The sequence below is a fragment of the Homo sapiens genome, chromosome 22, assembly GCF_000001405.40.
Source record: "Homo sapiens chromosome 22, GRCh38.p14 Primary Assembly".
Classification (NCBI taxonomy): Eukaryota; Metazoa; Chordata; class Mammalia; order Primates; family Hominidae; genus Homo; species Homo sapiens.
The window spans coordinates 33,306,578-33,333,798 of record NC_000022.11 but is presented as its reverse complement, the minus strand read 5'-3'; the positions used below and the strand labels follow the sequence as shown (position 1 = coordinate 33,333,798).

Here is a 27,221-nt window from a genome sequence, read left to right as displayed (position 1 = left end):
AATTACCTGGTTCATATGTTCGTTTCCTACATTTTTTCATAAATGTAATACCAAAACATAAGACTCTTAAAGACTTTGTACTGTTCACCTCTGAGGTTCTCCGTCCTAACATAGGATAGAACCAAGCACATAATAAGCACCTAATAAATATTTATTGAGTGAATGTACTAAGTAAATTTAAGAAGTAAGAATGAATTACCACCAAGTAAAGGGAAGAGCAGATGAAGAAGTGAACTGTTAAAAGAGAACATGCTGGAAGTTCATGTACCAGAGCACAGGCATGTTGGGGGCATGGCTAGGAACAAAGCTGACCAGGAGGCGCCCTGACTGTGCTGAGAAGCTTGGAGTTTCTCCTCAGGGCAGTGAGGAGCCACTGAAGGGTTTTGGTGATGGGCAGATTTATATTAGAGAAAAATCACTCAAGGTAGAGGATGAAATGAAAAAGACAAAACTGGAGGGACCACTTAAAGGACATTGCCCCGGCCCAGCACAGTGGCTCACGCCTGTAATCCCAGCATTTTGGGAGGCTGAGGTGGGCGGATCATGAGGTCAGGAGATCGAGACCATCCTGGCTAACACGGTGAAACCCTGTCTCTCTAAAAATACAAAAAAATAGCCGAGCTTGGTGGTGGGCGCCTGTAGTGGGCGCCTGTAGTCCCAGCTACTCAGGAGGCTGAGGCAGGAGAATGGCATGAACCCGGGAGGCAGAGCTTGCAGTGAGCCGAGATCACGCCACTGCACTCCAGCCTGGGTGACAGAGTGAGACTCCGTCCAAAAAAAAAAAAGGACATTGCCCCATCCCAGGCAAAAACATGATGGATGGGGCTCTGATCTCTAGGACAGTTGCGGTGGGAATGGAGAGAGCAGATGGATTGTTTTGTGGGTACTAAGAACATGAGAGTAGGTGCAGCTAGCACTCATAAGTCAAGACAAGCAGGTTCCTGTACACTGCTCCAGCCCTGTTCCTCTGCTGGCTGGGGCTGGGGCTGGGGCTGGAGCTGGGGCAAAGAGAGAGTCTGTAAACATTGCACTCCTGAACCACAGCTCTGTAGGGAGTTTACCACCTGGTCTTCCGCAGCGCGTCAAGTGTTATCTGCAGACACAACCAGAGGGAAAGGGTATGATCTTGGATCCAGCCCAAAGCCTATGCTCCCAGCTCTGTGGGAAGAGGTCATTAGAGCTGTGATAAGTGCACAGATGGTGGTGAGTCTGAAAGAAACCAAGTCAGGAACCTCTTCTTTGGACTTGAGATCCTAGATGGGAGCAGGCTCTGATGGCAGTGTCTAAGTGACTTAAGACTCCTTTCATCCACTGTATTAGTCCATTTTCACGCTGCTGATAAAGACATACCTGAGACTGGGTAATTTATAAAGGAAAGAGGTTTAATTGACTCACAGTTCCACATGGCTGGGGAGGCCTCACAATCATGGCGGAAGAGCAAGGGACGTCTTACACAGTGGCAGGCAAGAGAGAGAATGAGAACCAAGTGAAAGGGGTTTCCCCTTATAAAACCATCAGATCTCATGAGACTTATTCACTATCATGAGACCAGTATAGGGGGAACCTGCCCCCATGATTCAGTTAACTCCCACTGTGTCCCTCCCACAACATGTAGCAATTATGGGAGCTACAATTCAAGATGAGATTTGGGTGGGGACACAGCCAAACCATATCATCCACCCAGCTGATAATTCAGGTAGTCGCCAGACACAGGGCTAGTGTTCTAGCAGGCAGCATTGCAGATTAAAGCTCGGCTCTTGCAGTCACTGTTGAGTGAGGGTTACAGACAAGCAGAGGATTATTAAGTAGTGCGGTTAGTGCCAAAATAGTGGTAGTGCTTTGAGAGCACACGGGAAGGGCATTTTACACAACTAGGGAGAGAAGGTGCATCGAGGAAGACTTCCTGGAGGAGGTGAGATTTAAAGGTTGAATAAGTAGGAGTGAAGGAGTCTGAAGGGTAAACTTGGTGGGTGGGAGGGAGCAACATGAGCACTGGAGACCAGGAGCCAACACAAGCATGATCACTCGAGGACCTGCTGGGAGTTGAGAGTCAAATGAAGTCAGTGTGAGAACTATAAAAATGGCTGCACAGGCCAGGTGCGGTGGCTCACGCCGGTAATCCCAGCACTTTGGGAGGCCGAGGCGGGCAGATCACCTGAGGTCAGGAGTTCAAGACCAGCCTGGCTAACATGGCGAAACCCCGTCTCTACTAAAAGTACAAAAAGTAGCTGGGCATGGTGGCACATGTCTGTAATCCCAGGTACTCGGGAGGCTGAGACAGGAGAATCGCTTGAACCTGGGAGGCAGAGGATGCAGTGAGCCGAAATCATGCCATTGCACTCCAGCCTGGGCAACAAGAGCAAGACTCCGTCAAAAAAAAAAAAAAAAGATAAGAAGAGAAAGAGAGAGAGAAAGAAAGAAAAGAAAGAGCTGCACAAGTTAATTTTTGCATTATTTTAACTTTTTCACTGGGAAATTGATAATGACAACAAGAGTATGAGCTCTCTGGTAATCTGAATCGCTCATTTAATAGACACATGACCTCAGAGAAGTCACCTAAATGCTCTGAGCCTTGGGTTTACCATCTGAGAAATGGGTACATGACACCATTGCCATGGGGTTTTATGAACAATTGAAGGCCAAAAAAGAAGGACTTGGCACCAGGAACACAGTGTGCCTTGGGATGAGTTTCTTCACAGACCCCAATGCCTGACCCATGTGATCATAATCCACTGTTCCACACATAGGCTTTAGGTTTTATTAGCAACTCTGGTAAAAAGACGTAGCAGAGAAGGGAACCTGTAGAGTCTCTGAGAAATCTGTCTGTAAAGCATGTGAGAGGGTGTCACATTTGCTCTAAGTCAAACAATCCCCAGTATCCCCACTGATTCGGAAATTCAGGGTAGGAAGAAGAGGCTATTTGGTTTGCCTTGCTGCCAAAATAAAAATAAGGACATCCAGTCAGGGATGTAATTCTTCATCAAGGAGCCAAGATGTGAGGGGCAGAGCGCCATTTCAGAGCCACTGGTTGGGCTGCTTGCTCTAGGACAAGACAGTTTGATTTGCAAGAGAACAGGCTCCCCCAGTGCTATGGAATGACAGTAGCTAATTGGTCACAGCCACTTGTCTCTCATAGTTTGGGCATCTCTCCCTGGAACTTGTAAATTCTTTATGTAGTGCAGTAAGCATTTGGTATGCATTGGTTATTATGAGTTGATTGATTGACATAGGGATGGAGGTTAGAATTCTATACCTTAGCATTTCTCTCCCTTTTCCTCAACAACCCAGCCCCTCAAGAATATCCAAGAAATGGCAGGGTGCGGTAGCTCATGCCTATAATCCTTGCACTTTTGGAGGCAGAGGCACAAGGATTGTTTGAGCCCAGAAGTTTAAGGTTGAAGTGAGCTATGATCGATCCGCTATACTCCAGCCTGTGTGATGGAGTAAAACCCAGTCCCTAAAATTAAATTAAATTAAATTAAATTTATAAAAGAATATCCAAGAAACCCCAGGACTCTTCCAGAACATAGTTGGATAATCAGAGCTATTCTCTACCGTTTTTTCTATTCAGAATCCTTCCACAGTATCCCTAATAGGCTTGCATCTGGCTTCTGCTGAAATTCTCCCAAAGACAGAGAGCCACCTTCCAAGGCAGCTTACTCTGCTATTGGAAAGCTCCAGATGCTAAATTGTTCTACCTCATGTTGGGCTGAAATATTCCCTTCTGTAAAGAACCCACTGATCTGAGCCCTGTCCTCTGGAGTCTAGGTTTTGTTGGGTTTTTTTTTGTTGTTCTGTTTTTTTAATGAAACATAAGGAAATAAGGATCCTTCCACCTCCCTAGTACCTGACAGCCCAGAAGATAGCATAGAAAGTTTCCATTCAGTTTGCTATTTAGAAACATGCAATGCTCCCTAAGTATTGTATTTGTAGGGTGATGCTTTATCATCAAGAGGGTCTTGCTCCACCTAAGGGAATTTCCAACTAAAGGAACCTCATCTTTTTAAATGCAAAAACCATTAAAATAGATGGGTTTTAACCAATTTGGACAGGAAACTTGCTGCTAAAGTGTATGCCGTTCCTTTAGTAAGCAAACACTAAACTCAGTTTAGTATTAAACTAAGTTTACAATATTTGATGACTGTGGTTACATTGAAAAGGCTGGAGGAGGTGGAGGGGGTTGTCCAGAGGAGGAAAGATACTGTTTAACCTGGCAGGAAATGGCCCCAGACTGTTCACTGCTTATTCTGTGGATTCCTTTCTGACAGCTGTCACTTTCTGCTTATCAGCTTCAGAACAACCCTTTCTGGGCTCGCCTCCTTGTTCCTTCTTTCCAAGGCAGCCAACGCCCCCTTCCCCCCACAAAAAAAAAACCCACAAAGGTATTTAATTTAGAAAGACTGATGGTAAAAGAATGATCTGTTGTTATGTTAAAAGCTAGATTATGAAACATACCAAACATCCACAAACTACAAAAAAAAAATACACTGGACACCAATGAATTTTTGAATGTATATGGAATTGTAAGTCAACAGCCAGTGTCTCCAACCCCTGCCCACAGCAGACATCACTAATTGATGACTGCATTATTCACCTATGCCCAGCTTCTTTATCCTCCTCAAAACAGCACTCTGAGTAATCAGTATTGGTCTCCTAGCCTCCTAGTGATAGCAGGGAACCAAAGCCTGCTGGGTATCCCTACGATAGGTATTAGTCATTCTGGTCTCTCCTGCATGAGCACAGCTCTTTGTGCTGTTCTAAGACCTTTCTCTGCTTGCCTCTAGCTTTTGGGAATTGGAAATTTTCTACAGGGAAAGAAAGAGAAAGGGAAATACAACTTTAATCTTCACCACAAAGAGTGGGAGTCATTATGAGTCACATTTCACAGATAAGGAAAGGAAGGCTTCAAAGAAATGATTTACTTGTTCAAGACCACACAACTCCTAAGTGCTGGGGCCGTGATTAGAAACCAGGTCTACCTAACTCTAAAGCCACAAGACAAGGAAGTGCTTCCCAAATGGATGTAGCTATGTATGTCATATTAATGTAATAGTAAGTTACATTATTACATATATCCAGGTTATTCCACAATTCTCCTAGTTGTTATATGGATACGGTTTTCTTACTCTTTCACTAACCCTTCAAGGTAGTTCCTGTTATCTCCTTTTTTATTATTTATTTGTTTTATTTTATTATTATTATTATTATTATTATTATTTTGAGAGAGAGTCTCGCTCTGTCACCCAGGCTAGAGTGCAGTGGCACAATGTCGGCTCACTGCAACCTCCGCCTCCCGGGTTCAAGCAATTCTCTGCCTCAGCCTCTCGAGTAGCTGGGATTACAGGCACCTGCCACCATGCCAGGCTAATTTTTGTATTTTTAATAGAGCTGGGGTTTCACCATCTTGGTCAGGCTGGTCTTGAACTCCTGACCTCGTGATCCACCCACCTCAGCCTCCCAAAGTGCTGGGATTACAGGCGCGAGCCACTGCTGTTATCTCCATTTTATACAGAAGGAAATAGAAGCTCAGAGAGGTGAATTCATAGAACACGTTGGTGGCAGGGCTGAAGCCGGTATCAAGCCCTGATTCATAGTTGAGTGGTCTCTCTACGACTATTTAAAATACTCCTCTATCTAAAATTGCAATGCCTGTCCCATACCCCAGCACTCCCTCTCTCCAGGGCTCCTTCATTTTTCTCCATAGTACTTATCACTAATATAATCATGACTTATTTATTTTTGTTGATCATGTCTCTACCCACTAGAATGTAAGCTCTGTGACTACGGGGCTTTTTATCTGTTTTATTCATCAGTACATCTTCATTAAAGAGTGCCTGGCACCAGATCCATGCTCAATAAATCTTGTTGAACAAATGAACTATAACAAGTCCTTTTCTTGAAGCATTTGTGGTGTGCCAGAAGCATCCCTCCACTTGGACTCAGAAAATTTGGCCCAAGCTGGGAATAGTGGCTCATACCTGTAATCCCAGCACTTTGAGAGGCTGAGGCAGGAAGATCACTTGAGCCCCAGGAGTTCTAGACCAACCCAGGCACCATAGTGAGACCTCGTCTCTGTGAAAAATAAGCAAACCACACATGCCTGTGGTCCTAGCTACTCAGGAGGTTGTGGTGGGAGGATCACTTGAGCCTGGGAGGTCGAGGCTGCAGTGAATCGAGACGGCACCACCACACTCTAGCCTGAGCGACAGAGCAAGACCCCGTGGCCCTAGACCAGATCTATGATTTTAGGCATAACTCTAGCCTTACATGAACCTCGGTTTTCCCATCTGTAAAATGGTCAGTAAATGCACCCACACCAGGCTATTTGAGGAAAGTTAAAGGGGTTAAAGTATTCAAAGTGCTGCACCATCTAGGCAGTTATTGTTACGAGTATTTTCCAGAAAGCTTGTCTTGGATACCCGCTCTCTCAACTGCTGGGAGATCACTGCCTCACCTCTGAAATGAAGAAGGCTTCCAAGCTTAACTCTCTCACGCTATGAAGGTGACAGGCCACTTCCAAGGCCACGTTCCCTGACACTAAGCCTGCTAAGAGGAAAAAACAACAGCATCACCTCAACTAGAAGTTAAAAATAAGACACATATAAACAGATTCTATAACATTGTATGGCATCACCCTGCAAGACAATGCCAAGAAACAGATGGCTCTGTGGAAACAGCTGTATCTCAGAAGAATCCCGGAGAAAGCCCAGAATGCATTCCTGCTCTCACGTGCGAGCCGCATGTCGCCAACTCTTCAGTCACGCAGCAGGCAGCAGAGCCCAGGATGGACAGACCCAAAACCCTAAGACAGGCTAGGCTGCTCAAGGCCAGTCTCCAAAGGACCCTCCAGGAATGTGTTAAGCTCCAGAGAGAGGGGGTGAAGGGAAGAGGAGCTGTGGGATCAAGAGACTCAGTGGATACAAGTCTGGGCCACGGTTTCCCCTTGTGGCCTGGCTGCTTTGATCCTGTTCAGCTGCAACTTACACAGAGCCCTGTTTGACCCCTCTAGGCACTGGTTGTCATCTCTCTGCACTTGCCAGGTGTTCGGCCCTCCCTTGTCTATAAAGCAGCTCCCTCCCTTCCTCTCCTTTCCACCATATCTCCCTTTCTCAAGTGGCATCTCTTACTTGTGCAGTAGATAAGAAGGCAGCTCTGGAATGAGGCTGCCTCATGTGAAATCCCAGCTGGACTGCCAGCTGTGGGATTCCTGGTGATCTGCTTAAACTCCCTGCACCTCAGTTTTCTCATCTGTACGATGGAAATTAGTTATTCCTATCTGATAGACTTAAGAGGAATCAATAAAGTAAGACAGGGCCAGGAGCTTAGAACAATGTGGCAGATGGCAAAGGCCCCCCAGAATTAAGGTTTGTGTTGTGATTGCACTGTGTTTGTAATTAGTGACTGGCTTCATTGCCTCTCCTCCTAGACCATAGGAATAATACAAGTGCAGAAGCAGGAGCTCATTCCCCATTCCTAGCACAAGACTTGGCATAAAATAAGAGCCTATGAATTGTATGTGATGCGTGAATTAATACTGATAACTGGGAGGGAGGAGACCAAGCCTTTTTCTTATCTCCTCCAAGTCGAGGTCAGGGCTGGGCAGACCCTCTCTGAACCTTCACTCAACAGTCCTGAATGCAGCCCCCTACCTCCCTGCAAAAGAATGAAAATGGACTCATAGTTTGGTTTCCTTAGTAAAAAAATGCTTTGGGTTCCTGGAACTTGTTGATTAATACACACAGCAGGCAACGAGGAAGGTCGTGAGCTTTTTCTGCCTGTCTGTGTGGCTTAATAAGATGTAACTGCTTTGTGGAAACCACAGGGACAAGCTCTGGGTTAGGTTTCAGGAGACCAGAGTTGGAGCCCCAGCTTCTCTGAGCACCTTGGGCCCTCATCTGTCAACTGAGGGCCCTAAGGGCAGCCTTGCCTGTCTCATGCAAGCGCTGGGGAGGAGTAAAAATGAAATAGTGGATACGAAGCCACCAAAAAGTGAAAGCAAGTTGAAAGTGCAAAGCAACATGCTTGAGTGGTAATTTCCCCATCAGTGATTTCACCCATTGCCCCAAGACATCAGAAGGAGGGGTGTCACAGGAAGGAAGAAACGGGGCCTCCCAGACTCCTTAATTGGTCCATCGTACTATGTCTCCATCACTTACAGGCTACAAGCATTCAAATGTGCCTGTTAGTCAAGGTAGCACAAGCAGCTGTAATGTGGCTCAACCTGCTGGAACCTTGCAGAAAGTCCACATGGGTGTTCATGATTGGCAGGTAGTTTTTCTGCAGGTTGAAGGACCCAGGCTCCTTTTGTCTTGTGGCTCTGCCCTCCACAGAACCCCAGCCTGCTCTACAGGATTCTCTTGCTCTGGCTGTCAGCCAAGAAAAGAAGGCGAATAAAATTTGTTCCTGAGCAAGGCTTCAGAGTGGTGCCTGTACTAGCCAGAGCCTTTCCAGACTCCAGTGGCCAGAGCTGTATCACAGAGTTATTCTTAACTGCAAGGAGGCTGGAGATACAGCCTAGCTCTGTGCCCAGGAAGAGAGCAAAATATGGATATTGGTGAGCACAGGATGTTTCTGCCACCATGTGAAATACATGTGTTGAGTCCTCTGCAGTCACAGAATCGTTTACTGTTAGAACTAGAAAGAAGCCCAGAGGCTGACCAACTAGGCATTGTAGTGAGTTGGTTACCTGCAAGAATTCAGAGGAAATACACCTGGGTTTGAATCTCAGCTACTCTGTTCGCGCATTGTATAACCTTAAGCAATGGCTAAACCTTTCAGATGATGGATGTCTTCTTCTACTAAAGAGGACTAAGAGTGGTTCTTGATCTGTAGAGTTGATGTGAGTCTTACATGAGAAAGAACCTGCAAAAGCTCTCCCCACTTTACCTGACCCAGTGAGTGCGTGATCCTTGAGCGTCACTTTAGGAAGTCCAAACCCTTTGTCTTACTAATTCAGAGACATGACTTGCTCAAGGTCGCATAGAAAATGAGTGTCAGAGATATCAGGTCTCGCTTTTCAGTTATCCCCATAATCTCACTCCTTAGTTTGCGCAACTGTGAACAGAAGTCTCTAAGGCCAGAGCACAGGATGCACTTGTACTCCCTCTGGATCCTCAGGTATAACCAGCCATCATTTCCAGCAGCTCAAAAAGTCAGTCTAGGCCACTGTCCTTAAAGATGAGGAGAAATAAATGCAAACTGCCTAACGGGCCATTTTCCCTTGGGTCCAAATTTCCCTCTGCCTCAGCTGGCTGCCCAAAGAAGCAGTTTAGCAAATGCATTTTATCTCAGGAGAAATCTGTCTTTTGTTTCTGTGCCTCCCTTGTCAGGAGCCCTCTGTTCCCTGTGGCAGTGGCCAGAGAGCAGAGTACAGTAGCATTCAGACCCTGTTAATGAAATACTCCCTCCGGCTCCATGGCTCCCCAGAGAAATTACCCAAACCCTGGGTGAAAAGGAGGCAGGTTTTGTTTTTGGCTTTTTTGTTGTTTGTTTTGGGGGGGGGGTTGTTTGTTTTTGGCTTTTTGTTTTTGTTTTTTTGGCTTTTTTTTTTTTTTTTTTTTTTTTTTTTTTGAGATGGAGTCTTGGTCTGTTGCCCAGACTGGAGTGCAATGACATGATCTCAGCTTACTGCAACCTCCACCTCCTGGGTTCAAGCTGTTCTGCCTTAGCCTCCCGAGTAGATGGGGTTACAGGCACCCACCACCACACCTGGCTAATTTTTGTATTTTTAGTAGAGATGGGGTTTCCCCACGTTGGCCAGGCTGGTCTCGAACTCCCGACCTCAGGTGATCCACCCGCCTCAGCTTCCCAAAGTATTGGGATTATAGGCGTGAGCCACCGCATCTGGCCAAGGAGGCAGTTTCTAAACTGCTAGAGTCTCCCCATTGAGATAACATTAGCCACGCAGTCAGGAATAAGCGAGCCTAAATTAGAATTTGAAAAGGTACATAATATAATCATAACCACATTGCTTAGGTTTGGGTAGCACTTTACAGTTCACAAAGCAGTTTTACGTGCATTAGCTCATTTGAGAAAATTGCAGGGAATTAGTTAACTACAGAAAAGTTTAAGAAGCCAATAAAATTCATCTGTGAATCCACCACTCAGAAAATCTTTGTTAACATTATAATGTGTTCCCTTCTTTTTTTGAGTGGGTTTTTCTTTTTCCTTTCGTCTTTTTCCTGCACTGGGACCACAGTTTTTTATGGCCTGCTTCGTTCATGGAACATTGTGTCTTCCACCATCTCATTTGATTCTCACCTCCATCTCCTGGGAAGAAGTAATTGTGTTGTGAAATGTCCCTGGTTTGAGGTCCGAAGACTGGATTCCCATCCTGGACTTCTTCTCGCTCACTGAAGCAGATTACTGAAAGCTCCTGAGCCTTAGTTTCCTCCTTTGTACAACAGATATGTGTGCTGAAGGATTAAATTGATGAAGCAATGCACCTGAAAACATTTAGCATTGCGCCAGTCACATAGTAGGTACCCAGTTAGTATTAGGTGGATCAAGGTGCAAAGCACCATGTAGAGGAGAAATGAACATGCAAGTTCAAGGATGGCTTCTGGTTGCCCCAGAGTCCTGTGGACAGGTACGTCTGACAGCATACCTTTCTTTCTTTCCTGTTTTGTTTTTGTTTTTTGTTGTTGTTTTTGTTTTTGATGGTGGTGGTTGTTTTTTGAGACAGAGCCTCACTCTGTCACCCAGGCTGGAGTGCAATGGCGTGATCTCGGCTCACTGCAACCATCCCCTCCCAGGTTCAAACGATTCTCCTGCCTCAGCCTCCCAAGTAGCTGGGACTAGAGGCGCACGCCACTGCACCCAGCTAATTTTTTGTATTTTTAGTAGAGACGGGGTTTCACGGTGTTAGCCAGAATGGTCTCGATCTCCTGACCTCATGATCCGCCTTCCTTCGCCTCCCAAAGTGCTGGGATTACAGGCATGAGCCACGGTGCCCGGCCACCTTTTTTTTCTACAATACCCACTGTGGTTGGTAAATGACAATATTCCCTAGATAATACCCTTTATACACTGCAGCAAGGGCTGCAAGTGAGCTTGGGATGTGGATGCCACCAAATCCCATTATTGGTACCATGAAGTTCAGAGCTGGAGGTGGCCTCTTCTCCAGGACTGCCCTAGTCCATCCCACTAGGGCAAGGTGTACTTTGGAAGTCCTCGGAGCATCTCCGTTGACCAGTACTCCCTCTCCTAACATACAGGGGCTGAGGACATCCAACAGAGGCTTGCTGAACATCCAAGATGGATCACATCAGCCACGCAGTCAGCAATAAGCAAGCCTAGGTTAGGATTTGAAAAGGTACATGATATAATCATAACCACATTGCTTAAGTTTCTGCAGCACTTTAGAGTTTACAAAACACTTGACATGCATTAGCTCATTTGAGAAAAATGCAGGGAATTAATTAACTACAGAAAAGTATAAAGAAGCCAATAAAATTCATCTGTGAATCCACCACTCAGAAAATCTTTGTTAACATTGGATATAGAACCTGGATATTGCTAGGTTCAGATGGTTCAGAAATGAAGGGGATACAGCTCCTGCTGTTAGGAGCTCACCATATGGATGCTTTTTAGAAAGTGGTTCCTGGAGCCATTTACCTGGGAATGTCTTTTTCCCCAACTCAAGGGTATGTACCTGTGTGTGCATATAAAGAGAAGGAGAGGCCAGACGCAGTAGCTCATGCCCGTAATCTCAGCACTTTGGGAGGCCGAGGCGGGTGGATCACCTGAGGTCAGGAGTTCAAGACCAGCCTGGCCAACATGGTGAAACTCTGTCTCTACTAAAAATACAAAAATTAGCTGGGCATGGTGGTGCGCACCTGTAATCCCAGCTACTAGGAAGGCTGAGGCAGGAGAATCGCTTGAACCCGGGAGGCAGAGGTTGCAGTGAGCCGAGATCGTGCCACTGTACTCCAACCTGGGCGACTGAGTGAGACTCCATCTTAGTCAATCAACCAGTCAGTCAGTAAAGGGGATGAGAAACCCCCATACATGCATGTGTTTCTCATTCTCCACTCACTAATGCCCATTTTCACATGGTGAGGACCAGCTACTTGTCTGAAGCCTCATCAAAGAAGGACCCATTTCTCCACACACATTTGCCTACCCACGCTCACACCCACGCATCACACACATTTCCACTGTCCTCTTCATTGAACTGGAAGCCCTTCATTCTTCTGAGCATATTAAAACAGAAACCAAAACCAAAGGAAAAAAAAGCCAACCCTGCTCTTGCAAAGAATTTTGTAGATGTTTAGTCTCCAGTGGAGGATAATTTCTTGTGCTCTTCTGCAGTGTGGGTGAGGGAGTTTAGGAGCATAGCAGTTGGTTACGTTTTCTGCCGGGAGGTAACATTATGGTTTATAGGCATATTTTAGGCCCTCAAGGGGAAAGCCAGGGGGACTCCCTCTAATATGTATGAATCAGAAGGGCCACCCTGGCTCATCCAGCCCCTACCATCCCTGCCCACCAGGATCTTGCCATACAGTCTCCTTCAGGTGAGGTTTGAGGACAAAAAGTATCCACATAGGTGTCTTCAGGGGCCCAGGTGTTTCCCTTTCCTGTGATAATCACTATGATAATAGGTGACATCTGTTGAATGTTTTCTTCAACCGCTGTTTTCTCTATATGCAGCATCTTTCAGAATCCTTCTATAACCTTCTGGGGTAGTGAGTTTTGTCGTCCTCATTTTACAGCTGAGGACCCTGAAGCTCAGAAAGGTTAGGTCACTCACCCACTTACCTGAGATGATCCAGGCAGAATGGGTTAGAACCAGTGTCCTTAGCCACTGTGCTGCATCTGCGTCTTCACATGAGGCCAAGCAGGCATCTTTCCTGAAGCAGCAGCATGGTGGTGGAGGGGCACAGACCCAGGTTTGACACCTCCACCCTTCTCAACTGTTGGATGAGGCTGCCAGTGACTCACCGGGGGCTCTGGGGAGGAGAGGAAATCACCTGTACCCAGCACCTTACGTGGAGCTTGGCACATGCTTGTTTGCTCTCCAAAAGCTTTTCAGCCGTCACAGACCCTTGGATGCAAATATTGAAGCAAATCATAGGCTGAAGAATGGGCTTATTGATCACCTTCTGTGCATATAATTAGAGGACACAAAAGGAAAATTGAAAGGATAGTCTTAACTTCACAGTGATTACAGGTTTTTTGTATACAGCAAATATTTTTCAGGCATGCAACACATGATATTAGCACCTGTCACAAGCCAGGCATGGTGCTCAGGACAATGGTAAAATGTCACAGTCTCACCGGGAAAGTTGCCGTTAAATAATTTCAGTTTAAGTTGACAAGTGCTTTAATGGAGTTACGAACTGAGTGCTCTTGGAGCGCAGAGAAGAAACGGATTGCTTCTACCCAGCAGGATCTGCAGAGGTCTCACAGAGCAGGTGCCATCTGGGCTGAATCTTGAAAGGTAAATGGAAGGTTTTTTAGGTGGAGGAGAGTGGAGTGAAGTGAGGGAGGGCATCCCCGAGAGGGAAGAGCATGGCACGGAACAAAGTCACGGAGGTGTGAGGGAAAGGCAGATTTGGGGAGCACACAGACCAATGATGAGGCCACAGAGTGTGGGGGTGATGGGTCAGAGAGAGCAGCCCGTAATTGTCAACAAGGAAATCTGGATTTAATCATACAGGTCAGAAGGAAGCAGTGGGGTCATAGATCTTAGATGGAATGAGAATTTCAGCTTCCTTGTCTTATATTAAACTGTTGGCATGGTGAGAATCTTCAAATAGGCAGGGACAGCAAATTGACTTGAAAAGCTGAATATCCCTAATTGCATCCTTTTAACGGTTAAAAATTTTAGAGATAGTTGACAGTGTCTCACAGATGATTGGATCTCAGCCAGTTTCCCAAGCTGCATTTGGAAATGTTCAAGTACATTTGGAGCATCACAGGGCTGTCTGGAGAATGCTATAAGCATTTGGTGGGCAGGAGCTCGGGAGGTTGATTGTCCTTCAATATGTGGTACAGGTCCCCATAATAAAAAAGTGCCCCCCACAAAATACCAATAGCACTCTATCAGTATCTATTGCTCAGAACCAGTAAGATCTCAGTGGCCTTCAAGAAGCATTTATTGGCCGGGCGCGGTAGCTCACGCCTGTAATCTCAACACTTTGGGAGGGTTCGGTGGGTGGACTGCCTGAGGTCAGGAGTTCAAGACCAGCCTGGCCAACATAGTGAAACCCTGTCTCTATTAAAAATACAGAAATTAGCCGGGCGTGGTGGTGAGTGCCTGTGATCACAGCTACTCGGGAGGCTGAGGCCAGAGAATCACTTGAACCCGGGAGGCAGAGGTTGCAGTGAGCTGAGATCGCGTCACTGCACTCCAGCCTGGGCAACAGAGCTAGACTCTGTCTCAAAAAAAATAAGTAGTATTTATTGAGGCAGCTGGGCCAGGCTGGCTTGCATGACTTTGGCAATTGGGGAGGAGCTGCTCTGCCCCAGATGTCTCATCTTCCAGCAAGCTAGCCTCGGCATCTTCTCATGGCAATGGTAGGGGTGCAAGAAACACTTTCTCTTGAGGTCTAGCCTCAAGACTGAGACAATATTACTTCCCCTGCTTTTTGTTAACAAAAATACATCATGATTCTAGCCCTTATTCAAGGCTAGAGAAATAAACTGTGCCGCTTTAGTAAGCACCACTGCAAAGGACAAGGATATCTGGGGTGGCGGGGAGTGGGGGAGAGAGAAGGAATTGGAGCAATTAATGCCATCATCTTCCATAGCACACATCTTGAGAAATAATGCCATCAAGTAATCTGTCAAGGCAATGGTCTTAACAGGTACAAAGCTCTACAGAAGCAAGTTAATATATTTTCTTATTGACTGCTACACTGTTGATTTGGTGATTTAAAAAAGTACACCTTCTTGGAAAAACATTCTATGGTATTCAGCTAGGTTGGTAACCCTTGCCATGTAAACTTTTGTCTGTATTCTATCGTGTGATAGACAAGGCTGATTTAACAGAAAAAAAAAAATGGAACCAGCCCTCCTGTGACCTTTGGCAAATTATCATTTTTTTTTAATATACTTTAAGTTTTAGGGTACATGTGCACAATGTGCCGGTTAGTTACATATGTATACATGTGCCATGTTGGTGTGCTGCACCCATTAACTCATCATTTAACATTAGGTATATCTCCTAATGCTATCCCTCCCCTCTCCCCCAACCCCACAACAGGCCCCGGTGTGTGATGTTCCCCTTCCTGTGTCCCTGTGACTACAATAGCAAAGACTTGGAACCAAGCCAAATGTCCAACAGTGATAGATTGGATTAAGAAAATGTGGCACATATACACCATGGAATACTATGCAGCCATAAAAAATGATGAGTTCATGTCCTTTGTAGGGACATGGGTGAAGCTGGAAACCATCATTCTCAGCAAACTATCGCAAGGACAAAAAACCAAACACCGCATGTTCTCACTCATAGGTGGGAATTGAACAATGAGAACAAATTATCATTTTTTAAAAGTTTGTTTTTATGGAAATACAGATTGCCTCCGACAAGTCCTCCCATTCTTTTTTTTTTTTTTTGAGATGGAGTCTCGCTCTGTCGCCCAGGCTGGCATGCAGTGTCATGATCTTGGCTCACTGCAACCTCTGCCCCCTGGGTTCAAGCAATTCTCTGCCTCAGCCTCCCGAGTAGCTGGGATTAGAGATGCCCGCCACCATGTCCGGCTAATTTTTTGTGTTTTTAGTAGAGACGGGGTGTCACCATCTTGGCCAAGCTGGTCTTAAACTCCTGACCTCGTGATCCACCTGCCTCAGCCTCCCAAAGTGCTGGGATTACAGGCGTGAGCCACCGTGCCTGGCCAAGTCCTCCCATTCTAAGTGCACAGTTTGTTGAATTTTCACGAAAGTGCACATCCATGTACCCATCGCTCCAGTCATGGTGGAGCGGGTTTCTGTCACTCCCAGCCCTCTCTTGCCTCTTCCCAGGCTTCACTCCCCCACCCCACATGCCCGAGTCCAATTTTTGTCACTGTGGATTAGCTTTTTGCTAAGTTGTGTCACTTTTTAATTTCAGTTCTTCATCTGTAAAACATACATCATACCTGCCTGGTAGGGGTTCACATGAGACCGTGTCTGTTGGGCAGCTGCAGATTTGCACATCTGTGTATCTGCCTCTGCATATCTGAAATGTTATCTTCTTAGCTCCCTGTCAGCAGGTGTGCCTGCTCTTTTCACAAGTTGGTGAAGGAAGAGAGAAGTACAGCTAGTTAAACAACTTCTACAAGCAGATTAATGAAGTAAGACTTTCAGAGAGTTCAAAGAAAGAAAAGAGAAAAAAGTACGGGTGCCAAGATTCTGATTAAACTTAGGTGAAATGAAAGGAAAAGAGTTTCTGTTTTGTTAACGTGCTAAGTTTTGTTTTGTTTTGTTTTTTTCCGAGACCTAGTACAAAAATTGAAATCAGTAGCTCTAGGGAGAGAAAAGCATCAGGTCATACGGAGGTCCTTGTCAGTTTTGAGCGTTTTCTTCTTTGGGCATTTTCCTGTGTAATTTTTATTTTTATTTGTTTTATTTGTTTTTTGTTTGTTTGTTTGTTTGTTTTGAGTTGGAGTCTCACTCTGTCACCCAGGCTGGAAGGCAGTGGTGCGATCTCAGCTCACTGCAACCTCTGCCTCCTGGGTTCAGGAGATTCTCCTGCCTCAGCCTCCTGAGTAGGTGGGATTACAGGTGTCCGCCACCATGCCCGGCTAATTTTTGTATTTTTTGTGGAGACAGGGTTTCCCCACGTTGGCCAGGGTGGTCTCGAACTCCTGACCTCAGGTGATCCAGCCACCTTGGCCTCCCAAAGTGCCGGGATTACAGGCATGAGCCACCGTGCCCAGCCCATTTTCCCATGTTATTTGAAATTGTTATGCTGAGTTGTCTAGGAAAACATTTCTCATTTGTTTCTAAGGAGTTTATGGTTGGTTATATGTTTTTCAGTGAGCACCACCTTTGTTCTTAGCTAAGAGGGGACTCATTTCTCAGGTGTTAAAGGCATCCTCTTTTTTTTGTTTTTTTCTTTGTTTGTTTTTGTTTTGAAACAGGGTTTTGCTCTGTAGCCTAGGCTGGAGTGCAGTGGTGCCATCTCAGCTCACTGCAGCCTCCATGTCCCGGGCTCAGGTGATTCTCCCACCTCAGCCTCCTGAGTAGCACTACAGCCACACACCTCCATGTCCGGCTAATTTTTCTATTTTCAGTAGAGACAGGGTTTTGCCTGGTTGCCCAGGTTGGTCTCGAACTCTCAGGCTCAAGCGATCTGCTCGCCTTGGCCTCCCAAAGTGCTGACATTACAGGTGTGAGCCACCACAGCCGGTCCCCAGGCATCTGATTTTTACCATCACCTTTTTGAAATTAGATTAAGTTGCAGAGGGAAATAAAAGTGGTGATCCCTTCCATGTACGTCAGACCCATCAACAACGTCCTGATGGGTAATAAACTCAGGGGAGGGCAGGGCTCAAGGGGCAAGCTCATGGGCCCCCTCGGACCTCTTCTTCACGTGCCCAAGCCCTCTCTCCTACCCTGCAGCTCCAGAAGCAGCTGTCTGAGCTGGACGAGGACGACCTGTGCTATGAGTTCCGGCGAGAGCGCTTCACTGTCCACCGCACCCACCTGTACTTCCTGCACTACGAGTATGAGCCTGCAGCAGACAGCACGGACGTCACCCTGGTCGCTCAGCTGTCCATGGACAGGTATGGCAGACGGCCTCACCCACCCCAGTCTCCTCACCGCGGCTGTTACATGGAGGATAGAGAATGGAGAAGGGTGTGCCTGCTTCCCAGTGCATCTGCTAAAATTGGAGGATGGAGCAGGAAGAGATGGCACATGGGCTTAGAATATTGAAGCCTGGGCCGGGCACGGTGGCTCACACCTGTAATCCTAGCACTTTGGGAGCCCCAGGCAGGCAGATCACAAGGTCAGGAGTTCTAGACCAGCCTGGCCAACATGGTGAAACCCCGTCTCTACTAAAAATACGAAAATTAGCTGGGCATGGTGGTGTGCGCCTGTAATCCCAGCTACTGGGGAGGCTGAGGCAGGAGAATGGCTTGAACCCAAGAGGCAGAGGTTGCAGTGAGCCAAGATCGTGACACTGCACTCCAGCCTGGGTGACAGAGCACGGCTCCATCTTTAAAAAAAAGAAAAAAAAAGAGTACTGATAAGGGTGAGCTGTGTCACATCCCTACCACCTCCCCAGCACCGAAAACCAAGGGCTCTTACCTTATCATTGTCTGAGGATAGATGAAAGGATCGATTCTTAAGAAGTAGAGCCCGACTCGAATTACCTCAGGAAGAGGGACAGTGGGGAGACTGGAGCTACAATTGCGGCTGGAAAGCAACGCTGTTTCTTTTCCTTCTATGTGTATTGATGAAGCAAACATCCATCAAGCATTTCCAGGCAGTACGGACATGAGCCCCGCCCTGATGTAGCTTACAAGCCAATGCACTGCTTCTCAACCTTGTCCAGGGAGATTGAATCACCTCGGGAGTTGTATAACACGTTCACATCCAGGCTCCCTTGCAGAGCAGTTAAGTGAGGACCTTTGTAGGATAGAGCCCTTGGCATTGTTTTGTTTTAAGCTTATAACGTGTAGCCAGGGCTGAGAATATGGAGCTAGTCACATAAACAGCAATACACGCCTCCCGGGTTCACACCATTCTTCTGCCTCAGCCTCCCGAGTAGCTGGGACTGCAGGCACCAGCCACCATGCCCAGCTAATTTTTTGTATTTTTAGTAGAGACAGAGTTTCATCGTGTTGGCCTGGATAGTCTCGATCTCCTGACCTCGTGATCCTCCCACCTGAGCTTCCCAAAGTGCTGGGATTACAAGTGTGAGCCCCTGCACCTATCCCAATTTATATATTTTTAAAAACATCTCTGGCTGCCAAGAAGTGAATGGATTTGAAGCCCCAAGGTCACTCAGCCAGGGCTACATGGCTTTTCTATACTTGGCCATTCCAGGTGCCCCTTCCCACCTTGTCAGACTGGCTTCCGCTTCAATTTACACATGGCCCACAGTGGCTGCCCTTACCCCAACTCCCTCACATGTCATCCCCCCTCAGCTCCTACAATTAGGAAGGAAGTTTGATTCCTCATTCTGTCTTTTGAGCCACATCAGAGATGCCTATCCAGCCTATGGGTGAGATTCCATGGGATTGTTCTAAGGATTAAATGAGCTAATGCCTGTACAGTGCCGAGAACAGTGCCTGGCACATAAGTGTTCCATAAATACCAGGTGTTATTAGTCATGAATGACTGAAGAATGGACAAACTGATGAAAGAACAAACACCTGGATGCAAAAACGTTTTCATAAAGGCACTTGAGAGCTCCAGGAAGTGAGAGGAACCTGGCGCTGGAGGCAACGTGGAATGATTCATGTTGAGGGTGGCTCAGGGAAGTGGATTCCTTGCTCTGTGAGTCCCGCCACATGCAAGCAAATGACCACATGCATAATTCAATGGCTTCAGGGGCCGGCGGTCTCTTGGGGATTCACAGGCTCCAAAAGAACTTGGAGAAAGGCCACTGGGACTCCTGTGCACAGAGAACTTGGGGATCCTAGCAGGTAACAGGTAAAGACAGCATGGGACAAAAGAGCAAGGGACAAGCATGGAGGCTCTAGCACCAGGTCCATGCTTGACCTGCTGTGAGGGCCCTGGCGAGCCCTGTCCCTTCTTGGGCCCACAGTTTTCTCATCTCCACATCCACATGATCACTCGGCAAATACCGCTCACCGTTCTGCACCAGGCACTTAGTGGGAGGGGAATATGTGTTAAAAGACCTATCCCTGTCTTCAAGGAGTATGCAGCCTATGTGGGGCTCAGGCACCCCATTCGTTTTCTGTTGTTAGGTGACAAAGTACCACACATTGAGCAGCTTAAAAAGTACACCTTTGTTACCTTGTGGCCACTATGGGTCAGGAATCTGGAAGATGTTAGCAGGGCCCTCTGCCCAGGGTCTCAGGACTGAAATCTCAAGGGATTATCCAGGGCTGGGATGTCATCTGGGGATTGGCATCCACATCCAAGCTCATTTGGGTTGGAGCAGAATTCAGTTCCAGGATGGAGGTCCCATTTCCTTGCTGGCTGTTGATGGGTGTCCCCCTCAGCTCCTCGAAGCCACGCTCAGTTCCTAGCCATGCAGCCCCCTCCCTGCAGGGCAGCCCACTTCTTCAAGGCCAGCAGGAGAATCTCTCTGGCCCATGACCCTGGAGTCTTCTATAACATCACATGATCACAATGTGATATTCAGAAGCCCTGCCCACACCCAAGAGGGCGATAACACAGGGCATGTCCGCCAGCGGGGCGGGAATCTGGGGGGTCCCTCATAGAACTCTGCCTGTCACTGACAGGTAAACAGGTCTACAGTAGGATGTTTAGTTCTGAGTGTCGTGCAGGAGGTGCACCGATTCTATGAGAGCCCAAGGAAGTGGAGAAAGGAAAAGGCAGGGAATGTGTCCGAGGGGAGGTAGTACCTGAGTTGAGTTGGAGGCTGAGTGGACTGAGAGTAGAAGGCACAGAAGGAGAGAAGGAGGGCTCCCCGAGATAGAGCGTGCAGCATGTTCACGGGACAGAGAAGACGTCAGGGCCAGTGGGGAACACAATAGTAAGGTGTGGTTAGGGCTTAGGGTGTAGGAGGGAGAAAGAGGAGATCAAATACACATGGCCAGGTAGGCAAGGGCTGGATCACAGAGGGCCTCAGGGAAACCAGGGGAGGTGGCCAGCCCTTCCAGCTCAAATCTGGCATCCTGTGTGTCTCCATAGGGACACCCAACTGGTGTCCCAGAGTCACCCCTAAAATTCTCAGGTCCCTTTGGCCTCTCACCCAGATTTCAGTTTGGACACCTAGGCTCCCCACCACTAAGCATCAGGAAGCCACCTCACCACAAAGTCCCTCTTTTCACATATGTGTTTCCTTCTCCTCCATGGCATTTATAGTAAAAAGAAAATGGAATACTCCATGTCAGTGCTGAATGATGGTCTAGATTGGTCTCTTTCAACTGCATCTGTCCCCTCCCGTGAGCTAACTGAAACTCAGGTACTATAATCCATGCAAGTGAGAGGGTTTCACTTAAAGCCAGGTGCCCATTTCTCCAACCATCACTGGCTCTCTGTTGCATTCAGGCCTCCTGATAATGCATTCAGATTATCAGCAAAATATTCTGAGTCAATATTAGTGGCCAGTGGCTACCAAAGAAATCTGATATACTTTCTAATCAAAGTAAAGAGTAGCATAACAGTGAATGACACTTGGTCCCTGGAGTCAGGCACTGTGGGTTCTTTGTTGCCCTGTCACTTTGTTTTTGGACAAGTCACTTAACTTTTTTTTTTTTTTTTTTTTTTGAGACAGAGTCTTGCGGTGTCGCCAGGCCAGAGTGCAGTGTTGCAATCTCGGCTCACTGCAGCCTTCCCCTTCTGGGTTCGAGCGATTCTCCCGCCTCAACCTCCCAATAGCTGGGACTACAGGCGCGCACCACCAGGCCCAGCTAACTTTGTATTTTTAGTAGAGACGGGGTTTCACCATGTTGGCCAGCATGGTCTCAATCTCTTGACTTCGTGATCTGCCCACCTTGGCCTCCCAAAGTGCATCACTTAACTTCTTTAAGCCTCAGTTTCTTCATCTGTGATCTGAAAGTGGTAACTGTATCATTATCCTCATCCCTAAGGTTGTTACAAAGATCAGATGAGAGAAGGCGTGCCAGTGCTTAGTCCTGACATACATTCAGAGGCTCCCAGAATGATACCAGTACTGTTGACCAGAATCTTAATATTTGTGATATTGGGTAAAAAGGCACTAGACGGAAGGACAGAGAGCTCCGGGTTCAAATCCCACCAACTCATTCAATCCTCAGCTGGTGTTCTGGGCAAGTCACTTAACATCTTTGGGTTTCCGTTTCCTCCTTCTATAAAAGAAGGATAAAATTACTTGCCTCATAGGGTCCTGTTTAGGAGTAAATAAGAGATCCTCTATAAAAGCCCTGAGCACATATTTGACATCCAGTAAATACTGGCTAGATCTGAACATCCTTACGAAGGCATGTGCACATGATAGTTATTTAGGAGAGGTAAAGTGATGTAGTAGAAAAGAAAAAAAAGCAAGACTTGGATTCAAAGTACACTTGTGCCACTTCCTAGCTGTGTAAGTTTGAACGACTTACTTAGCCTTTTTGAGCCTCACTTGACTCATCTACGAGATGGTGATAACGTCAGATTCACTGATTATTGTCTGGGTTCTACAAAATAAGGTGTAAAGTGCCTAGTAAGTAGTTGATGTGAGAAAATATTAATTTCCCTTTTCTTAATGTTTCTCACCTCTCTGCTGGCTATAGAATTTGCTATCTGGAATTTGCAAACAAGTAGAACAAACATGTTTCTAGTTATTAACAGCTCAAACCCATCCTTCTGTATACACTAGTTAGCAAGAAGAGAATACAGACAAAACCAAGTGCCTCCTTCTATTGCCAGTGGGATCCATCCTTCTGGCCTGGGCTGCAGACACAGTGCATTTAAAAGAAAGTCCGGGGCCGGGCGCGGTGGCTCACGCCTGTAATCCCAGCACTTTGGGAGGCTGAGGCAGGCAGATCACAAGGTCAGGAGATGGAGACCATCCTGGCTAACACAGTGAAACCCCATCTCTACTAAAAATACAAAAAATTAGCCTGGCATGGTGGCGGGCGCCTGTAGTCCCAGCTACACGGGAGGCTGAGGCAGAAGAATGGTGTGAACCCGGGAGGCGGAGCTTGCAGTGAGCTGAGATCGTGCCACTGCACTCCAGCCTGGGCAACAAAGCGAGACTCGGTCTCAAAAAAAAAAAAAAAGTCCGGGCCCCACTCACATATACAGCAAACACCAACCATAGCGGTCTTCCCTTCAAAGCATGGACAGCCCAAGCGTAGCAGACACACGATACCCACTCCTGTATTGTGACATGTATCACCATCAGGACAGTATCTCAAGAGAACCCAAGGGATGCCAAGCCCTAATGAGAGGCACTTAACGGGCCACAATTAAAAATTATAAAGCGGCACTGCAGGCTTATGAAGAATGGTAGAAATTCCTGCAGCCACTTCCACTCTGTCAACACATCCGATTATGATGCAGCACGCGGACTGGTGCCTGTTGGATTGATTTTTAATTTAAGAAACCTTTCAGATATATTTGTAAACCTTCGAGTCAGAAGTAGGCCCTACGTGAATGCCACAACGAATTAGGAGAGCCGGCCTTCGCACTCCCGTACGCAGCTCCCTCTGGAATTCCGTTCAGAAAGAATGAACGTTGCAACCATGGCCATGAAGCCAGGAGTTCTGCTTCTCCTTCAGCAGCTCAGCACCCTTCCCTCCCATCCCAGCAGAAGACACCAATGGCAAAGGGACAGAGGGAGCTGATCACGAGGGGTTCACCTATCTTCTGACACCACACCAGGGAGAGCCTGGTTCTTTAGTGTGTTTTTGACAAAGATGTTAAGTGTTGACTACAGTTGCGGGGCCTCATGGGGATGACAGGTCACTTCTCTGCTCTCTCTGAGTAAAGGAGAGAGAATGGGCTGGGCTCACAGAGCCCTACTCTCTAGAACAGCGTTGCTTCAAGCCTGCTCCTGGAACCAGCAACACAGCATTGCATGGGAGCTTGTCAGAAATACAGATTCTCAGGCCCCACCCCAGACCTCCTGAACCAGAATCTCGGGTGGTGCCTGGAAATAGGGGTCTTAAGAAGCCCCGCAGGTGATCTTTAAGAAGCTTACATTTGAAAGCACTGACCGTTCTGGAGAGTGAAAGGTAATTTTTTCTCCATGTAACAGGCAGAGCGATGTTTTAAAAATGTAAATCAGGTCACATCATTAAAACCCTCAGATGACTTCTTGTTACATGTGGAACAGTGTCCCACCCGCCTGCTGTGGTCTTCAAGGCCCATCCAGCCTGGCATCTGTGCAACCCCTGACACCTTCATCTCACCCCTGCCCCTCACCGTCCTGTGCTGCACCCACACTGGTCCTGTTTCTTCCTGCTCGAACATGCTGAGCCCATTGTTACCCCAAGGGCCATCCCCTCTTCTTGGAGAGCTTTCCCCCCAGACTTTTCACAACGCCAGATCCTTCTCATTATCTGCTGTAACAAAATGCCACAAATTATTTGATATATGAACAATGGAAATGTATTTATCACAGTGCTGGAGGCTGGAAGTCCAAGATCAAGGCTTCGGTCGATTTGGTGTCTGGCGAGGGGGCACTTCCTGGCTCACAGAGAGTGCCTCATTACTGTGTCCTCACGTGGTGGAAGGAGCCAGCTAGCTCCCTGGGCCTCTTAAAAGGGCATGAAGGCTAGGTGTGGTGGCTCATACCTGTAATCCCAGTACTTTGGGAGGCCAAGGCAGTCAAATCACCTGAGGTCAGGAGCTCCAGACCAGCCTGGCCAACATGGCGAAATCCCATCTCTACTAAAAATAGAAAACTTAGCCAGCTGTGGTGGTGCACACCTGTAATCCCAGCTACTCAGAAGGCTGAGACAGGAAAATCGCTTGAACCTGGGAGGTGGAGGTTGCAGTGAGCTGAGATCGCACCACTGCACTCCAGCCTGGGCAACAGAGTGAGACTCAGTCTCAAAAAAAAAAAAAAGGCACGAATCTCATTCAAGAGAGTTCCACCCTCATGACCTAATCACCCCCCAATCAAACCTCTGGTTTGTCGATTGTCTTTTTTCCCCACTAGAATAAAAGCTCCTGAAATGCAGGCGCCTAGGCCCCTTGCCTGTATAGTATACCAGATGCATTGGAAATAACAAATATTTATTAGGTGAAGACATGTTTGAGAGGCAGAAATAGAACCTAAGGAGGAAATTACAGCTGTCATATACTGAGTACCTGCTGTATATCTAGCTTTGCACCAGACACTTTGTATCATCATCTCATTTAACCCTCAAATCCAAGTAAATGTTACTGTTTCACAAACTGCCCTGAGTCTTAGCAGCTTAGTACAAGAACTGGAATGAGCTTGTGATTCTTTGGATTGGCAGTGTGGGCTAGACTCTGCTGGGCTCATTCCTGTGTCTGCCGTAAACTAGGTAGCTTTTCGGGGGTTTGTCTGGCTATCAGCAGGGACCATGGGAACGCCAGGGCAAGGTGGTGTAGGGCTAGTTCACATGGCGGCAGGTACAAGCCGGTTGTCTCACCTCTTCTCATGTCATGTTTGCTAATATCGCATGGACCAAAGCAAGTCATGTGGCCAGGATTCATGTGGGAGATTATTTCCAGAGGGTATGGATAGAGGCAAAGGGACGATTGATAGCTATTTTGTAATCTACCAAAGGCATTATTATCCCCAAAATACATATGTGCAAATTGAAGCTCAAAGAGCTGTCACTTGCCCAGGAATACTGACATAGCTCAGAGGACAAATCCAGGCCTGTCTGACCCCAAAACCTACAGTTGCAAGCTGTGTGATATGCTACACAGCCTGCCTCATGGGCAGTGCACCAGATTAGAATGGTCCGCCTTGGTGGGTGTGAGTTCCCCATCCCAGCAGACACTGAGTGATCACTGCCTGGGCTGCTTAGTCCCACTGAGACTCTAGAATTCCTTCCAGCCCTGGTCTTCTGGGTTTCTGACCTGGCCGTCTCCCTACCTGTTCCTTTATGACTACAGAGACTGCGTGAGGCTTCCAGCTTTAATGGGACTCTCTGGAATAGCCCCCACCTGTTTTTAGATCTGCCAGACATTTCTGAGCCTTTGCCCACCCCTCCCTAGATGAAGCAGTGGTGGGCTCGATGGGGTAGTGGGAACCAACATGGGACAGAGACAGGCCTTCTGGGTTTAGGGTCAGCTCTTCCATGGACTCATCCAGCAAAAGAAAGCCTGGCCACAGAGCTTGGCATCAGCAAGAACTGCACGGGGACGACCCTTAGGGAACACATGAGGGGAGAGAACCTAGGAGGTAGAGGTTGCAGTGAGCCGAGATCGCACCACTGCCTCCAGCCTGGGCAACAGAGTGAGACTCTGTCTCAAAAAAAAAAAAGAAAAGAAAAAGGGCACCAATCTCATTCATGAGAGTTCCACCTTCATGACCTGATCACCTCCCTAATCAAACTCTGGTTTGTTGATTGTCTTTTTTCCCCACTAGAATAAAAGCTCCTGAAATGCCGGTGCCCAGGCCCCTTATCTGTATAGTATATCCGATGCATTGGAAATAACAAATATGTATTAGGTGAAGACATGTTTGAGAGGCAGAAATAGAACCTGAGGAGAGGGCCGAGGGGATTGTGGAACTTTGAGACAGATACCAAGAGGGACTGAGGAGGGGAAAGAGTGGGGAGGCATTGACACCGGGAGAAGAACACGCTCTTACTTGGGGAAACAGACAATGAAGCAAAGATATTTGGGAACATTGTTCTCAGCCTAACCCCAATCCATAGTAAATAATGACCTGGATCCGGGCTTTGGGGTGAGGTAGACCCGAATGTGAATCTATGTCCTTCACTTTGTAACTGCGTGACTTGAAAGAAGTTATTTCACCCCCTTAAGCTTCCTTGCCTGTAAGAGGGTGGTGACAATCTCAATATTATAGTTACTATGAGGATTAAATATGATAGCCACAGTGTGGCAAAGACATGACAAGCAGCAGGTAAAGGGGGAGATGGATGAGATCATGATCACACTTTAAATATTACCATCATTATTAGAAACCTCAGTTTGTCACAGTTGTTCAGGTCCTGGCAGAAAAGTTGGTTCTAAGGGACTAAAGATTGGAGAGATTGGGGCTGGAGGGCATAGAAACAGCAGTGCGTTGTGTCACCATTCTGTCTCGCTTGTGGAGGTTCCACAGAACAACATCCAGCTGTGTTATCTGTAAAGCTCAACTTATTTTTCATGTGCACAGCACCTTCTGAGAACCTTGAGTATTTTTTCTCTATTCTTTTTTTTTTTTTTTTTGAGACAGATTCTCACTCTGGAGTGCAATGGTGCGATCTCAGCTCACTGCAACCTCCACCCCCTGGGTTCAAGCGATTCTTCTGTGTCAGCCTCACAAGTAGCTGGGACTACAGGCGTTCACTACCACGCCTGGCTAATATTTTTGTATTTTTAGTAGAGATGGGGTTTCACCATGTCAGTCAGGCTGGTCTTGAATTCCTGACCTCGATGATCTGCCCGCCTTGGCCTCCCAAAGTGCTGGGATTACAGGCATGAGCCACCGCTCCTGGCCTCTCTGTTCTTAC

At 47.0% G+C, this 27,221-nt stretch overlaps 1 protein-coding gene across 26 annotated transcripts in view, besides 2 other annotated features; it reads left to right on the top strand.

The window, feature by feature from the left end:
• LARGE1 (LARGE xylosyl- and glucuronyltransferase 1) overlaps positions 1 to 27,221 on the top strand; it is an 856,162-nt gene that overhangs the window by 589,026 nt on the left and 239,915 nt on the right. For 24 of the 26 annotated variants that reach the window (XR_007067993.1, XR_002958722.2, XR_007067994.1 and 21 more), the window contains one exon: positions 17,551 to 17,714. Coding sequence is in view for 23 of the 26 variants with exons in the window: in XM_024452302.2 (XP_024308070.1) it covers positions 17,551 to 17,714 (164 nt within the window). In the remaining 3 variants the exon portion in view is untranslated. Of the gene's footprint in view, positions 1 to 10,198; positions 10,663 to 17,550; positions 17,715 to 27,221 lie in introns of those variants that run through there. The other 2 variants (XM_047441604.1, XM_047441605.1) reach the window with 2 other exon arrangements.
• Positions 8,284 to 8,333: an enhancer, noted in NCBI's record as "active region_18881". NCBI's record gives its function as "activates an Ori minimal core promoter by ATAC-STARR-seq in GM12878 lymphoblastoid cells {active_cell/tissue: GM12878}" and the evidence as "EXISTENCE:reporter gene assay evidence [ECO:0000049][PMID:35858748]".
• Positions 12,175 to 12,304: an enhancer, noted in NCBI's record as "active region_18880". NCBI's record gives its function as "activates an Ori minimal core promoter by ATAC-STARR-seq in GM12878 lymphoblastoid cells {active_cell/tissue: GM12878}" and the evidence as "EXISTENCE:reporter gene assay evidence [ECO:0000049][PMID:35858748]".